Source organism: Homo sapiens, chromosome 1 (assembly GCF_000001405.40).
Source record: "Homo sapiens chromosome 1, GRCh38.p14 Primary Assembly".
Taxonomy (NCBI): Eukaryota; Metazoa; Chordata; class Mammalia; order Primates; family Hominidae; genus Homo; species Homo sapiens.
Genome location: NC_000001.11, coordinates 95,248,996 through 95,267,866, shown reverse-complemented (window position 1 = coordinate 95,267,866; position 18,871 = coordinate 95,248,996).

The window sequence follows — 18,871 nt, the reverse complement described above, 5'->3', positions numbered from 1 at the left end:
TACTTCAAATGTAAAAGTGGTTCTACTTATTAAAAGGTCTTGTCAATAGAAGATTCTGCTATTACCTCATTAAATAAGTATGTACAGGTAAAAAAAATGACATTTATCATTTGTTTCAAAAAATCATGTCCTAAAAAAGACTATAAAATTTGTTCAACTCAAGAAAGGGCCCAGTAACCCAGAATAACGGCTGAGATTTAAAGTGTTTTTCTACTTTTCCACAGGGAAAAAAAAAAAAAAAACTAGCCCTATGCAGACAACGGTTGAAATCAGCCCTGTGTAAAATGCTATAAAGAATGTGTAAAAAAATTACATTCTTTGATTATTTGTTGTATTTTAAAGTCTTAAGTGGGACATAACAAATTATTTCATTTATAAAGCACTCTACAATTTACCAAGTGTTTTCCTACAAGTCCCTTTCTTTTAAGAGTCTTAGTCTATCTCAAGGATGAGGCTCCCTTGAGAAATTGCTACCCACAGATCACTATCTGTGACTGTTATACTGTATTTCTGGCTAGTTAAACCATGTCTATAACATAGAATTCAATTCTGGATGCCGCATTTTAAGAGGGACATTGACTAATTAGAATGTAATGAAAGGCAAATGTCCAGGTGAGTGGGAGAAGCTATAATTTTTGATAAATTATTCAAGCAACTTGGGAGGTGAAGAATAAGAAAAGGCATAATAACTACTTTCAAATATTTGAAGAGCTGTCATACAGAGAAGAGTATACTAATTCTGTGTTGCTCCAGAGGCCAGAACTAGAATAAAAAGCCATAGGTTAAGAAATGTAGATTTTGATTGAATGCAAGAAATAACTTTTTGTCTACTGTGCTGTCCAGTAACAACAGCTGCTTCATGAGGGTGATACTAATCTCTGGAGTTTTTCAAGCAGGAAGTGGATGGCTATCACAGTTACAATTTTTAACAATTACTGCACTGGTTGGAAAGTTGAACCAGAAATCGCTAAGCTTCTTTCCAGGTTTCAAATTCTATTTGTCTATATAAAATGAAATGCATAAATGTAGCTCCAAAGGAGATTTTTATTATATGCTCATTTATCTGACAGCAAAATATTTAGATTTTTTAAAGTAAATATAAGATTTTGTGACACATGGAATGCTTACTCCCTAACAAAAAATCATCTGGTTATTTGAAACTCCTAATATGTATGAAACAAGAAGTATAGCAAGTTTCAGGCACCAGGTACTATAAGTTGTATTCATACATAAATAATCGCAATGTTAAGAAAATAGCTTTTATTTGTGAAGAAACTCTATGAATTCACTGTGAGTATAAGTGTAAGGATAATTTTACAATTCAAGAATAAAGGAAATTGGCCTGGAGCAGTGGCTCATGCCTGTAATCCCAGCACTTTGGGAGGCTGAGGCAGGTGGATCACTTAAGGTCAGGAGTTCAAGACCATCCTGACCAACATGGTGAAACTCCGTCTCTACTAAAAATACAAAATTAGCTGGGCGTGGTGGCGCATGCTTTTAGTTCCAGCTACTCCAGAGGCTGAGGCATGAGAATCACTTGAACCTAGAAGGTGGAGGTTGCAGTGAGCCAAGATCACACCACAGCACTCCAGCCTGGGTGACAGAGGGAGACTCTGTCCCAAAAAAAAAAAAAAGAATGAAGAAAATCATCTCACCTCTCTAAAGTGCCAGAACAGAATGGAGCAGATATTTTCCCTAAAAGGTTATAACTATTGGACAACAATTGTTCATTGGTTCCTTGAGTTCTCTTTGCATTATACATAGGACTAAAGAGCTAATATAATTATCTCCCAAGTATTGCTATCAGATATATGAGTGGCCTTGGTTAAGTAACTTACCCCAGTAGCCCCACTTTTTCAAAAAAGCAGATTAGATGATCTTTTTAGTTCTTTCTAGTTCTCAGGTCTATGACTTCTACACATACAACACCCCACTTATGCAGTCAAGCACTGTCAACCTTCAGGAGCAAACCATGAACTTAAAACCAATTTCTAAAACCTGTAATTGTACCAAGGGAAATTTGTTGTGATCAGTTGTTGTACTAACTAAAAGAAGATCCACTCTGATTAATGATGATGGCTATAAAACTAACCCCTGCTACCATAAAATAAAACCATAAAATTTGGAAGAAGTGGCAAAAAAGGGAAAGAGAAGACAGCAAAGAAGAAAAAAGACAAAAAAGAGAGAAGAGGAAAGAAATCAGTAAGCAGCCAATCTCTACAATGGCAGAGATTAAAAGAAGCACCAAGAATGGCAAGTAGGGAAAAACAGAGAGAGAAATGAAACAGAGGTAGCAAAAGGAAAAGAGTGTCAAACACCTGCTGGAACTTGAAGGCAATAGGACCATTCAGAAAATGTGGAAGCTGAGGTTCCTCTCCCTCAATAGAACTGGAGAGAGCTTCCTCATATCACAGCAGGATGGAATTGGGGCCGTTAGTGCCAACCCCCAGGTGCATTGCACTTAGTAAATTCAATCTACTCTGCTTATCAGATGACTGCAAAACATGGAAGCTGAGGTTCTTCTACTTCAGTAGAACTGCAGAGAGCTCCTTCATATCACAACAGGGTGTAATCAAAGCTGTTAGTACCAACCCCAGTTGTACCATCCTTAGTATATTCAATCTACTTTGCTTATCAGATGAATGATATGGTTTGGCTCTGTGTCCCCACCCAAATCTCATGTCAAATTGTAATCCAGTATTGGAGTAGGGGCCTGGTGGGAGGTGATTGAATCATGGAGGGCAGACTCACCGCTTGCTGTTCTTGTGATAGTGAATAAATTCTCACGAGATCTGGTTGTTATAAAGAGCATAGAACTTCCTCTCTCTCTGTCTCTCTCTCTCTCTCTCTCTCTCTCTCTCTCTCTCTCTCTCTGTCTCTGTCTCTGTCTCTGTCTCTCATGCTGGCCATGTAAGACATGCCTGCTTCCTCTTCACCTTCCACTATGATTGTAAGTTTCCTGAGGCCTCCCCAGAAGTAGAAGCCTATGTAGCCCACATAACTCAGAGCTGATTAAACCTCTTTTCTCTGTAAATTACCCAGTCTCAGGTAGTTCTTTATAGTAATGTGAGAACAGACTAATACACATGACTAAAACATTTTAAAATATTTCATCTCCAAAATGTTTCCAAAAAGGCCTTGCTAATTAAGGAACTGACCTTTGGATCATGGGGAACCTCATTCATTCAAAGTTAACTGAGATGCTCCCTTGCACGTGGAGTTGGTTTATCAATATAGATACATAGATGATTTATAAATAGATCTAAATAACTTCATACTTGAGGGCCTAGAACAAAGCTCTAACTTTAAAGAAATCAAATGTATTCTGCCCTTCTCTCTATTCTCTTTCTACTTGGATTTCTTGGGAATTCACATTTTTGTGGCCTGATAAGGTAAATCCAGCAGTGGGCCTAATGAAAACCAAGAAGTGACCATAAATTAAATTCACAGCAGATTTTTCTCCTTTTTGCCCCCTTTGTGTGTTATTTTCATAGGAATCTGTGTCTTCAGGAGAAATAAGAGCAAAAAGTTTAGCGCCATTCTGAGTATACTATCTTAACACCATGGAAATTATGAATAATTATTAGTAATAATTCTAGGAAACAGATTATCATAACAAAAAAGCATGCCAAATTGCCTTGTACTTTATTAGTAACATGGGAACATAAACTGAGAATGTGCTAAGGTGATATTTTGCTACAAATAGTCGAAGAAATATTTATTTAATATGATATGGGATGGTATTTTAAAATATTAACTTATCTGTCTTTTCCTCTTGTGTTTTTTTTTGTTTTTTTTTTTTTGTATCTTTTCTTCAGCCCAAACCATAAGGTCCATCTCACCTTCACTGCAACAAAGAAGGGTTGTTAAAGCTGGACACAGGTAAAGAAAAATTAAATTCTTGGATATTATGTTTCAAAAGCTTACTTTAAGAAAATCTAGGTTTCTAAGAACTCTAGACAAAAAGTTTAAGCCATAAATAATAGATTTGGAATGACTCAGAGTCAGTCACATTTTATACTCTGTTACTTGTAATAGGTTCCAAATTTCATATATGTACATCAGGACTAGATTTGATGACATGTGATAGAAAACTTAAAATGTGGCTTAAAGCCGCAAAGTTATATTCTTTCACATAAAAAAACATTCAGAGGGTAATTCCTATTGTCCGCTCCACTTTCACCCTCAAGCTCACCTCATCATCCCAGATGCCTTTGGAATGTCTGGGACTGTGTCCACATGCCGGGGGCGGGGGAAGGGGCAGAGCAAAAGAGACAGCGCCCAGTGAGCCAGCACCTTCAAGAAGCCTTCCTGGAAGTCATGTTCAAGACCCAGAATTTGGTCTTATGGCCCTGCCTAGTTTAAAGGAAATCTAAAAAATATGGATTTTATTCTAAATGGCACTGTGCCTAGGTAGAAATTGGGGCTCATTACTATAAAGGAAGGTTAAAATGGAAACTATGTAAACACCTATTGATCTCTACCACCACTAGCTTTTCTCCCACCAGAGAACATAATTTTCTCTGGGTTGTGGGTTAAGAGCCTTTAGAGGAATTGTTTTGAGAGGGTGAGACAGTAGAGCCTGAAGATAAGGGGAACCAATCTGAAAGGACCAGGCGGACAAAGGCGAGGTGGTATTCATAGACCACCTAGAGTGAGTCTCAGGGAATGATCTATGAAGAAAGTCAGTGCCCTGCCACTACCCAGGTTCCATTCAAGTGAGCACCTTATCTTACTGTGCAGAAGGCCTTTGTCAATCATTCTGACCGCTACTTTCCGGAAAGGGACCCCCAAAAGCACAGTGGCCTGTTACTGCACCAGAAGTATTATAATATGTTCTGCTATGCTCTGAGACTTGGCATGGCCTGCATAGGCAATTCCCCTTACAGTGGCTCTGGACATTCAGAAGACCACTGAAACAGAAATTATGACACCAACCATCAAGATGCATCCTGATTTAAAAAAAAAAAAAAGCACTAGCACACTTCACACCAGCACTGGACTAGCTCAAGATTGCTCAGAACCAAAACTGGTGAACAATATCCTCTTTATAAGATGTAATCCTGCCAGCATTGGTTCCTAAAATATTTTATTCTGAGGTAATTACTTGTTTCAGACCATTTAAGAAAACCTACAGATAACTAAACATAAACCTTGGTGTAATATCCCACCCACTAGAGTGATTAAAATGAAAAAGAATAGCAATACCAATTTTTGGTGAAGGAATGCAGCGCCTGGAACATAGGTAGGTTGATGCAAAAGTAATCGTGGTTTTTGGCTGGGCGCAGTGGCTTATGTCTGTAATCTCAGCACTTTGGGAGGCCGTGGCAGGCAGATCACCTGAGGTCAGGAGCTCGAGACCAGCCTGGCCAACATGGCGAAACCCTGTCTCTACTAAAAATGCAAAAATTAGCCACGCCTGATGGTGGGCGCCTGTAATCCCAGCCACTTGGGAAGCTGAGACAGGAGAATCGTTTGAACCCGAGAGGCAGAGGTTGCAGTAAGCTGAGACCGCGCCATTGCACTCCAGCCTGGGTGACAAGAGCAAAATTCAGTCTCAAAAAAAAAAAAAAAGGAATTGCAGTTTTTGCATTGGAAGTAATGACTAAAACCACAATTACTTTTGCACCAACCTAGTACATTGCAAATGGAAGCGTAAAATGGTGCAACCACTTTGGAAACAATTTGGCTATTTCTTATATAAAGTTAAACAGACATAGAAATTCCACTCCTAGATATTTACCAAAAGATGTGAAAATCTGTATCTATAAAAAGGCTTACACCTAAATATTTATGCAGTTTTATTCATAATATCCATCAAAGGTGAATGGCTAAATAAATTTATATGGTGGACTACTGGCCACCAATAGAAGGGAACAAACCACAATACACAACATAATGTAGATGAAATCACAGACAGTGAAAGAAGCTGGACACAGAAGAGTACACATTATTCAATAACACCTTTATTCTAGAACAGGCAAAGCTAATCTACAGTGATAGAAATCAAAACAGTGATTACCTAAGAAGAGGAGGGGAGGAGACTGCAATGGGGCTGAGGGAACTTTCTGGAGAGGTGGAAAGGTTCTGGGGAGGCGGAAAGGTGGAAAGGTTGTACGTGTAGATTGGTTTTCTCTCCGGCCAAACTCAGCAGCTGGAGTCACCCCAAGAATGGTGGCAGGGGAACTCCTTCAAGGGACCGTCCCAAACCTTCCTGAGATTGGGCCTGCTTGGGTTTCAGAGAAGGAAGCACTAAACTCCAGAGTGACCAATCTGAAGCATTTATTAGGGGAACTTACAAGTTACACAGGAGGAGGCTGCAGCAGGTCCGCCTGAGCGACAGTGAGGGGGAGATGTTCTTCCTGAGTATGTCCGCAATGAGGGGTCAGGTTATGGAGTTTATGTGAGAGCTTAAAGAATTTTTCCGAAGGTGGACGCCTTCTACGTGTATAGTAACATAATCAATCTCTGTGTTTCCAGCAACAACCTAAACAGCTTTATCAGTAGTGGGGAATGTTCAACGCCCTAGCTTGGATTCAAGGATGCAGGAAAAACATGTAGCTGGCCAGGTCACAGAGTAGTCAAGGCATTCTGTTTTCCTTGGTCAGGACACAGGAAGAAAGCAGAGACGATATTGGGGGACCCAACAATTGGAGTAGTGGTTGATGATTACGGATGTGTACTTGAGTCAAAAGTCATCAAATTGTAACCTAAAAATGAATTTTATTTTTACAGTCATATTACTAAAAAAAAAGAACTTCCGTTCATCAAAAGACACAACAAAAAGCAAACCACAGAGTGAGAGAAGCTACTTGCAATACATATATCCAACAAAGGGCTCATATCCAGAATTCATAATGAATTCTACACCCAATAAGAAAACAACAGACTGCCCAGTAGAATAATGAATGAAGGATTTGAAGATACAATTCACAAAAGAGGATGTCCAAATGGCTAACATATATTAGAATGTGCTCAATATTATTAATATCCAGCACCACTAGACACACACTGTAATGACTAAAATTAAAAAGACTGTCAGTACCAAGTATTGCCAGGAGTGTAAATTGCCCCAACCACTTAGGAACACAGTTTAGCATCATCCAGTAAAGTTGAAAATATGCAAACACTAAAACCTTGTAATCACACTGCTAGTTATATACTCAACAATAATGCATATTTACATGTACCAGGAGATATCTACAACAACATTTATTGCACTACCATTTGTGATAGCAAAAAATTTAAATATTTAGACAAATAACAATCTATAGTAGACTCGATAAATAAATTGGGCTATATGAATATTTCATACAACAATGAAAATGAATGCCTCATAGCTATAAACAATAAAATAGATGAATCTCACAAATACAAGACTGAGCAGAAGAGATCAGACTTTATCATAAAGAATTTAAAAACAAATTTAAAAAACTAAATTATACTGTTAGCTTACTTAGGTAGTAAAATTAAAAAAAGAACCAGGAAATGATTGCCATAAACATCCAAATAGTGGTCAATTCAGGGGGTTGAGACTGGGAAGTGTAAAGATGCTAGCAAAGTTCTATTTCTTGAACAGGTGGTATTTATACAGATTTTACTTCATAATAATTTCTTTAGCTGTACAATTATATCTTATTCATTTGTGTATGAGTGTTATATTTCACAACACAATTTTTTAAAGAGGCATGGGAGGCGATGACATAATAACATAATAGATATCAGTTCAATGAACAAAACAAAGTGGGAATCAAAGAGAGGATGCTATTTATAAGAGGAAATATTTGAGCATTTTTATTATTGAAGATTAAAAATGCAAGAGAGAATTAATGTTATGAAATCTCAGAGAAGACAGAGGATGGAATCAAGTATGTATAGGCAAGTGGTCTTGCCTTAAAAAAGACAACCATTCTGTCTCCAGATTAGGAAGGAGAAGGAAATAATAATACAAAGAATATTTGAAACAGAGAAAGTATATGGAAGGTCATATTGGGTGATCTCTGGCAGTTAGAATGTTATTGATGGAGATTTTGAAGACTTATATTTGTCATCATAGGTTTTGTTTTGTTTTGTTTGAAGTTTCAATGTACATTCATACATAGACAAACCAATGTCTTTCCAGAATCCAGAAGAGGAATTTAACTTTCTCTAGTAACACAATTTGTATTCATTTCACATAACTCAATATTTGCTGTGCCTCCAATAAGTAAGGTCCTACCCTCGAAAACTTCCAATCTAGTAATGGGAAGAACAAAGTACATTTAAAATGATAACATAAAGTACAGCATATACTAAGAAAAGGAAAGGAAGGAGGAAGAGAGTAAAAGGGAATAATCAATGTCAATTGAGTTCCTACTACATGTCAGACACCGTGCTAGAGGCATTTGTACATTATTTAGTGTAATGACAAGTCTAAGAGGTAAGAAAGGGGTATTATTCTGATTGATTGTACATATGTCAAAACTGAGGCTTGCTACAAGAATTCAGACCAAGGAACAATTATTGATCCCAAAATAGGGATCAAGCATTTTATACAGGAAACAGCTCTGCAAATATAGAAAAGATGTCAACAGACAGTTTGTAGAAGAATGCACAAGAAAAAAATAACATTTCAAGAAGAAGGACAAATTTGATTATATGCAGAGGAAAGAAAAATAAGCAATATTTATACAGTTTGGCTGAGGCAAAAAGGCTACATAGAGAATGAGTGGAAAATAAACCCAGAAAATAATGATGTGGGGTCAAATTGAGAAGGCATTTGAAGATACCAGATTCAAGAGTTTACAACTAATTCAGTAGGAAACGGGAGTGATACTACTACTTGAGGAAGATTTATCTAGTCCAGGTCTGCCATCCCTAATTCACAATTCCAAAATCCAAAAAGTTCTAAAAAACCAAAAATATTAAGGTTTTTTTCTGAAACCTTAAAAAGCCAGCCTAATCTGAATTCATTTAGCATCCAAGTTTAACCTGAATCAAAGTGAGAACATTTATACTCTTTATTTATCTTAATGTGAATATTCATGTGTTTCACTGAAGAAATAACTGTGTTTGATTACAGAATGTTGCCCCAGCCCCATTGGGTAGATTTTAAAATATATGGTACAACCATATTACCTTTCTAAAAATGCAAAAATTAAAAAGAAAAATCTTCATTCTAAAAACAGATTTAATTCCAACAGTTTTAGATGAGGGATTATCAACTGTAACAATCTATAGAATGGGATAAGTGGAAGAACAGAGGTGAGAAGGCCAGTTTGGTGACCTCCAATAGTCCTGGCCACTTACATACAGTGGTGGCCATGAGAATGGAAAAGATGGGTGAATATAAGAATCACTACAAACTATACTTGGAAGCTAACTGGATGTAAGAGAGTAAGGAAGACGTCAAAGGAAAATCCAAGATTAATCCTGGAAGCCTAATAGTAATTTCAACAGTCAACAATAACAAAAATTAGATCATTAATGGGTTTACTTTAATCATAATGGATTTAAGATGTTGGCAGGACATGTAGGTTGTAATGTGAGGCAGAGAGTTAGAAATGAGTGTTTAGAGGTCAGGTGAGAGGTCAGGACCTGAGATGTAAATTTGAGACTCAACTACATAGAGGGAAATAATGACAGTTATGAAAATGGATGGAATTCTCAAAGAATCAAGAGATTCATGCATGGAATTTTGGTAAATCATTAGCACTTTACAGCATAGCTCTCTTGGTTGCATGAAAGTTCTATTGCTAAAGATTAGCAGAGGCTAACCATGCCTTAGTGATGAAGGAGCAGCATTATCAGAAGCACCAGAAATGCACCAGGTGAAGGATCACACAGATAAAAGTGCAATTCCTGAATTCCTTCCTAATAACTACTTCAGGGTGTCTTGCCAACAGTGAACTGAGCAAACACAAGTTTACAGCTTTGGAGCGATATCCCAAAGCAGATGAGCTCACTTTTTAAAAAAATCAATATATGTCCTTCAGTCAACATTTGTTATGCTCCTAGGCTAGCAGAAATGTAGCTTTTTGTGGAATCTCTTATCATGGTTAGTTGTGACTCAAGAGGAGTCACTCAAGCCAAAAGAAACTACAGTTTGTCAAGTTGTTAACTTATTTTGTAAAAGGTATCTGTCTTACCAATGCTACTACAAATTCATATCAGTATTTAATGTTTTATAGCAATGAAAACATGGTAGGGAAGAGATGGCAATGAGTTAAGCAGATATGAACTGAAAGCCACATTCCTCACCTCTAAAAGCAAAGCAACTGACAGGATATTTCTTGAGAGGTGTGATAGTTAATTTTATGTGGCAACTTGAATGGGCCTGGTTCTTGGTCAAACATTATTCTGGTTGTTTCTGTGAGGGTATTTTGGATGAGATTTACATTTAAATTGGTGGACTCTGAGTAAAACAGATCCACCTCTATAATGTGATCAGGCCTCTTCCAATCAGTGGAAAGCCCAAATCAAATAAAAGGCTGACCCCACCCTCCAACTCCACCCCAAAGTAAAAGGGAATTCTGCCAGCAGACTATCTTCAGACATCAACTGCAACATTAGCTTTTCCCTGGATATCCATCTTCAGAGTCTTCAAACTTGAACTGCAACAGGGCTCTTTCTGAGTCTGCAGCCTATCAGCTCACTCTGTAGATTTTGAACTTGCCAGCCTCCACAAATGCATGAGCCAATTCTTTGAAATAAATCTCTCTCTCTCTCCCTTTCTGTCACACACACACACACACACACACACACACACACACACACACACTGGTTCTGTTTCTCTGGAGAACCCTGACTAATACAAAAGGGATGGAAGGAATAAAGCAACATAACCAAGTGATCTGAAGAAATTGAAACCTACGATCCAGGTTACTTAGAAAAAAGCAATCTTCTCAAAAACAAAATGGTGGAAAGCAAACTGATTGAGATATTAAATTAGTTGAAATAATTAACTTATCAAAAATGAAGATTCCATTCCCCAATTTTTTTCACTTATTGGTAATTTTTACGCATCACTGGCAGTTTTGCAAACTTTAGGTATTTCTGTCTGTTTTTCATAGTATGGAGATTGCTCCTACTTTGAATCTTTTAATTTCAAATTCATTTTCTTGCCCTATGCATTTTATAATAGTGAATACCTTAAAACTTTTTTTTATTGCTCATAGTTAGACTTTTGTGCATCAACTGACAAACAAATTAAGCTACTTTGTGAAGGTTCCAAAATTTCAACAGCATCTTCATCTTACATAGCTGTATTTGTACTGTTATTTGAATGGTATGTGTTCCCTTTTGTATAAAAATAAGTGAAAAACAACAGATTGAAGGGTCAAAAATAGTGCTAACAAGAAAAGTTCTCATAAAGTTGGCATAATTAAGATAAGACGGAGCTCAGCTGTCATGCTAAGAAAGGTGGATGTACAACTTCTATCATACAATCATTAATCTTTACTCACTTGAGTGTTCAATCATGAGACAAAGAACAAAATTTAAAATATGTAAGAATGCTAAAGCAATATGATCAAATATTGTTTGATTGATAGACAAAGGGTAATTATGAATTTTATATATTTTTTGCTTTCTGGGACTGGAATGCCCTTTACAATATGGATGTCTATTGTTCAACTTTTCACATTCAATCTCCTCATATCTGCTTATGAACATATAATTATAGGATAATGCTTCTCAAACTTTAATATGCACACAAACCACCTGAGAATCTTATTAAATTGTAGATTCAAATTTAGTGGGTCTGGGATAGTGCATGGGATTCTGTATTTCTAACAATAGATGATGCTGGTCCATGAGCCACAGCTTGAGTAGCAAGGTTACAGGAGACTCAAAAGTGCAAACATTGCAAAATTACTTAGTCCATGATTTGCCTAAATTACCAGTAGGTAACAGTGACTGATACTCCTCAATTCTACGAGTTGATTTTAAACCAAATTGTCTTCAACTTTGCTCATCTTCCTGTGGTTGGTCCCCTTTCATTCAGGTATTGGTTCAAATGCCATCTCCTTGGAGATTTCTCTAACCACTCTACTTATAATAGCCTACCCTTCAGCATCTACCTTACAATTCTGTCTGTGGCTAAGCCAAATTTTAGGATTGAAATATCATTATTAATTACAAAGATTTAAGAATTATCTTTAATATTTTTATTTACTAAAAATATTGTAATAATTGGCACTTTTAAGCCAAGCTTACTTTTATTGGGGAAGACATACAGAACTATATCTTAAAGTCATTGTATAGCTTAATGAATTATTATAACCAAAATGTCTGATAAACCAGCACCCTGGTCAGGAAACAGGACATAGCCATCTGCCAAAAAATGTCTTTGCATGCCTCTCTCCAGTCACAACCCCTTCCATGTCCCGATTTGTAACTGCCATCCTGACTTTTATTATAACAACTTCCTTGCTCGTCTTTTAGTTTTAGCACTTAAGTATGTGTCCCTCATTATAATTAAGCATCGTTTTACCTATTTTTGAATGTTTGGAATCAGATAGTATATATTCTTTTGTGTTTACTTCACTTGATTCAATGTTGATTTTTAAAGATGGATCCATGTTGCCCTATGAGGCTGTAATTTGCTCATATAGTTTGCTATATAGTATTCCACTGTATGAATATACCACAATTTACTTGTCCATTTTATGCTGATAAATGCTTGGGTTGCTTCATTTGGGCTATTAAAAATGATGTCATGAACATGTTTGTACATGTAACTTCCTACACATATGTACACATTTTTGTAAGGTATGTACCTGGAAGTAGAATTGCTGGGTTTTGGGTATAGAATCTTGAGTTTTTATGGATAATACCCAACTGTTTGTTCAAAGCAGTTGGGTCAATATACTCCCACCAATGGTATATCAGCATTGGCATTGCTCCACTTCTTTGCCAACTCTTGCTATTATCCATCTTTTTAAAAATATATTTTTTTTAATTTTTATTTCTGTACTTCGGTGGATGCAAATATTCATCTTTTAAATTTTAATTGTTCTAGTGGGTGACTAGTGGTGTCTTACTATAGTTTTATCTCTGCATTTCCCCTGATTACTAATGAAGTTGAGCACCTTTACGTATGTTTTTTGGCTATTTGTATATTCTCAGTTGTGAAATACTTGTTCAAAATTCTCGTGCCCATTTTTCTATTAGATTGTCTATTTCTTATTAATGTTCTAAATATTTGAACAATAGCAATTAAATGTGTTCAAATAGCTTCTCCCATTCTGAGTTTTGGTTTTCTATTATCTTTTTTTCTTTTTTTTTTGAGACAGTTTCGCTCTGTTGCCCAGGCTAAAGTGCAGTGGCGCCATCTCGGCTCACTGCAAGCTCCGCCTCTCGGGTTCACGCCATTCTCCTGCCTCAGCCTCCCAAGTAGCTGAGACTACAGGCACCCGCCACCATGCTCGGCTAACTTTTTGTATTTTTAGTACAGATGGGGTTTCATCGTGTTAGCCAGGATGGTCTCGATCTCCTGACCTCGTGATCCACCTGCCTCCGCCTCCCAAAGTTCTGGGATTGCAGGCATGAGCCACCATGCCCGACCTGTTTTTCTATTGTCTTTCATGATATCTTTTGATGAGCAGTTGTTCCTAGTTTTGATGTAGTACAATCTATCAGTCTTTTCTGTAAGGATTATTGCTTTGTGTCCTGTTTAAGACTAGGATCCAAAAGTCAAGAAAATATTCTATGTTCACACAGGCTTGTAATCTATCTGAAATTAACCTAGAGTATATGAGATAGGGGCAAAATTTAATTGTGCCAGGACCATGTGTTGAAAAGACTGTTCTTGCCCAGTGTGATTCCTATAACATCCCCATTTAACTCACCTTTTGGGCTTGTCCAGAATCAAGTTGGTCTTAGAGGTAAGTGCAGATTATCAAATTTAAATAGCTGGTGGCTCTAATTACAGCTGTTCTTCCAAATGTAGTCTTATACTGAAGCAAATCAACATACCTCTGGGTACTTGATATCTAGCTCTTGATTTGGCAAATGCTTTTTACTCTATATTAATTTGCAAAGGCCACTGGAAGCAACCACAGCCACAAACTTCCACTTTAGGACTATATCTTACTTTAGGACTCTATCAACTTTCTGAATCTGTGTCATAAACCAGTATTCAAGGACTTCATTCATTTTAACATCTCACCAAACATGCTGATTGAACCTGGTGAAAATAATGTAGCAAACACCCTAAATGCCTTAGAAGACACTTATCAGAGGGAGGGAGTTAAACTCCAAGAAAATTTAGAAGCCAATTACCTAAGTGAAGTTTTTAGGAATCTAGTGTTTTAAGGTACATCCTGGAATATTCCAATATGAAAGGTTACTTACCGTACCTTGTACTCCTACCATTAAGGTATGATGTTTCCTAGGTATCTTTGGATTTTAGTGGCAATATATCCCATCTTTGAATGTATACTCTGACCTATTTACTGATTAATTCTTGGAGTTGCCTGTTTTGAGTGGGGCCCAGAGCAAAACAATAGGCTACACATCCAGACTGTGATGAAACTGCCCTGCTACTTAGGCTTTATGACCCTTAAGATCCAATGGTGCTCAATATAGTTATGGCCTATAATGATGCTATATTAGAGAACTCACAAGCCCAACAGAGCCTTAAGATTTTAATCAAAGCCATGCCCTCTTCTGCAAATAATTATCCTTTTTTTTTTTTTTTTTTTTTTTTTTTTTTTTTTTTTTTGAGACAGTCTCACTCTGTTGCCCAGGCTGGAGTACAGTGGTGCGATCTCGGCTCACTACAAGCTCCGCCTCTTGGGTTCAAGCCATTCTCCTGGCTCAGCCTCCCGAGTAGCTGGGACTACAGGCACTCACCACCACTCCCGATTAATTTTTTGTATTTTTAGTAGAGACGGGGTTTCACCGTGTTAGCCAGGATGGTCTCGATTTCCTGACCTCGTGATCCACCCGCCTCGGCCTCCCAAAGTGCTGGGATTACAGGCGTGAGCCACGGTGCCCGGCCCCCTCTTTCAAAAAAGAGCTCCTAGCTTGGTACTGGGTCTTAGATAAAATTGAACAATTGACCATGAGACATCAATTGAACATGGAGCTACATATCACGAACTGGGAATTACTTTATTCATGAAATTGTAAAGTTGGGCATGTGTAGATGAAGTAATATATATGAGATCAGGCACAAGTGGGTCCCAAAGGTACAACTAAGCTGCATGCTCAAGTGGCTCAGTTATCTATAGTAACTAGTCCTTCTGCACAGCTTCCTCTTTCTCAGTCCACACTGAGGATCTTGTGGGGAGTTCCGATAACTTGGTAACCACGGAAGAAATATTTCAGGCCTGATTTATGGGTGGTTCTTCACAATATTCTTCACTTTAGCAATTTTGACTCAAATGTGGAGTGTCTCTGAAAGATAGAAATCAAGAGAAATTTACGCAGTGGGTAGAACTTTGAGCAGTAATTCTGATTGTGTACCTTCTCTAGGTAAAGAGATGCCCTGAGGTATAGATTTACAGTATTTCATGAGCAGCAGCTAACAGGTTGACCAGGAGGTCACAGACTTTGAAGAACAAAATAAAAGGACTAATGAAAAGGAGATCTGGGACAGAGGTATAGGAATGGAGTTCTCAGGCTGAGCACAAAATGTGAGGATATTTGTGTCCCATGTGATGTTTTTCAAAGGGCAACCACCGCAGAGAAGGCCTCCATTAATCAAATAGATGAGTTGAATCCTCCAGTGGATGTTAGTCAGCCTCTTTCCCTAGCACCCCAGTGCTTGCTTAGTGGGCTCAGGTACAAAGTAAATACGGCAGCAGGGACGGAGGTTATTCATGGATTCAACAACATGAAATTCCCCTCACCAAGGGTGATCTTGCTAACCTGCTGAGTACCTAACCTGCTAAAAACAAAGACCCATAGTAAGCCACGAAAAAGGCCTCCCCTCCTAAAAAAACACCAGCTACCTGGTGGCTGATTAATTACATTGGACCCCTTCCCTAATGGAAGGGCCAGCAAATTGTCCTTACTAAACTGATACTTCTGGATATGAATCTGAAGTCCCTTCCTATAATACAACCAACTATGATCCTATAGACATGATATCCCTCACAATATAACTTCTGAATCAGAAACTCATTTCACAACAAAATAAATGTAGCAATGGATGAAATTCATAGGACTTTCCATGTACCTAATCATCCAGAAGTGGCTGGCTTGGTAGAATAATATAATGACCTGTTAAGACAGTTATGCTGGGTGTGGTGGCTCACGTCTATAATCACAGCACTTTGGGAGGCTGAGGCAGGCAGATCACTTGAGGTCAGGAGTTCAAGACCAGCCTGAACAACATAGTGAAACCCCATCTCTACTAAAAATACAAAAAAATAGCTGGGTATGGTGACATGCATCTGTAATCCCAGCTACTCAGGAGGCTGAGGCATGAGAATCACTTGAACCCAGGAAGCGGAGGTTGCAGTGAGCTGAGATCGCACCACTGCACTCCAGCCTGGGTGGCAAGCGAGACTGTCTAAAAAAAAAAAAAAAAACTCAGTTATTAGTCCTGGTGGGAGACAAGCCCCTGAGAGACTTCAGTGCTATTATACAAAATGTAGCATATAGTTTGAACCAGTGATCAGCATAGTTGTATTTCTCCCATTGCCAGAATACATGGGTCCAGGAATCAAGGGATAAAAATAGGACTGATTCCTCTCAGTAGTATACTTAATAACCCTCTCACAGAATTTCTAATTCTCATCCCTGTAAACTTGGACTATGCTAGTTTACAGGTCTTAGTTCACAAGGAAAGAATTCTTCTACCAAGGCACATAAAATGGTTCAAATGAATTGAAAATTGAGACTGATGCCTAGATATATTAGGTTTCTTATCACACTAAACTAAAAAACAAAGAAAGAGATCCCTGTATTGGCTGGGGTGACTGAACTAGATTATTATTACGGATATTGGGTTGCTGCTACACAATGAGGTCAAGGACCCCAGGGGAATCTCTGGATTGCCTCTTAAGACTTATTTAATAGTGAAAATTAATAAGCACCCCAACTACTAAAGACTCAGACCCATCCAGAATGAAGATTCAGCTACCCTACTAGGTAAAGAACACTTGCCAGCTGAAGTGCTGGCCAGGAGCAATGAAAAATTAAGTAGAGGAAGAAGTTACAAATATCAACTACAGCTTCATGACCAGTCAGAAACAAGTACCAAAGTAGTTATGTAAATGTGCTTCATTGCTTGTTCTAAATATCTTTGTATATAGTAACTATTTTTTTCCTTCCCCCTCTCAAGCCGTAGGAGTACAAGGAATGCCACTAATACTAATGATAGGGAACTTTACAGTTTAATCTTCAAGCTACAGAATATCTAGGTGGGATTGTGACTAAACTAGAAGAATTAACACCAATAAGAACAGTAGTAACTGGTGGGGCTGTTTCTCCCCTTTCTGAGGGAATGGTGAGTTTCATAAAGAACAGAGTTAAATCTACAAAGACAGAAGCATAAAACTGTTATTGCTGCATAGAAGTTTAAATATGGGTAGAAGGATGTGTGTGTGGATGCTTAATAGCTGAAAATAAGTGTCCTGGTTGGTTATTTTCTGTGGGCACTCAGCCCTCTCCCCATTTCACACACAGTCATCCTTCTATAGTCAGCTCTGTTCTCCTGAGGCTGAAATTCTGCAATCTACTTTCCCCAGACTTCCTTGCCAGCTTGGTTCCTGTTAGGCTTGTCAATAGAAGGCACTTCTGGGAGATCAGAAGGTAGCACAGATAGCACTGTGATCCTTGTTGGCAGTTGGTATAGCAGCAACAGGGGTGGAGTGATTCCAGATTCAAATGGACCAGAGACAGTGCCTATTAGCAATTTTAGCTCTGGTCTAGGCAGCATTTGAGCAGACTCCAATAGTGCAATAGCAGATATAGGCTATTACAACGTCTCCAATAGTGCAATAGCAGATATAGGCTATTACAACGTCTCCAATAGTGCAATAGCAGATATAGGCTATTACAACGTCTCCAATAGTGCAATAGCAAATGTAGGCTCTTAGCAGTTTCTAAACTCTGAGTGTCTCACCCTCCTCCTTTTCTTCTTTTATCCAGCCCCACTCCCTCTCCTTTTAACTCTTACAGCCTTTTTAATTTGTAATCAGTCTGTTTTAAATTTACTGTTTGAAATGCCTAGTTTCTGATTTCCTAACTGGACCTTAACTGATTAACCATCCCTTGAACTCTTACATTTTTCAGTTTCAGAATTTTTCTGAGATAGAGTCTCACTCTGTCACCCAGGCTGGAGTGCAGTGGCACGATCTCAGCTCAGCTCACTGCAACCTCGACCTCCCCAGCTCAAGCAATCCTCCCACCTCAGCCTGCCGAGTAGCTGGGATTACAGGTGCATGCCAGCACGCCCAGCTAATAGTTTATGTATTTTTTGTAGAGACATGTTTCATCACATTACCCAAGCTGTTTTCGAACTCCTGAGCTCAAGCGATCTACGCACCTCAGCCTCCCAAGTTCCTGGGATTACAGATGTGAGCAACCACAACCAGCCGATTTCCATTGAGTTTTTTCTGCTGTTTCTATCTTGTCTCTTCGTGTATCCAGTTACCTCTGATCATTTGCGAGATACTGAATTTTAAAATTATTCACAGATATAATCTGAGGCCTTAGGAGGATGTTAGCTTTCTTCAAAGAAGATTTGGAGGATTTGAGAGTATTAGAATCATCCAAGTTGAAGATTTAAGATTTTCTGGACCCACCAGAATTCTCAAACCTTACCTATAGTCTAGGACAATTGGTTTATGTACAGTTCACCTTTATTAACACAGTGTAGTCCTTTGGGGGTCCTAGCTCTTGGCCCCACCTACTTTATCCTCCAGACCCCAAATTT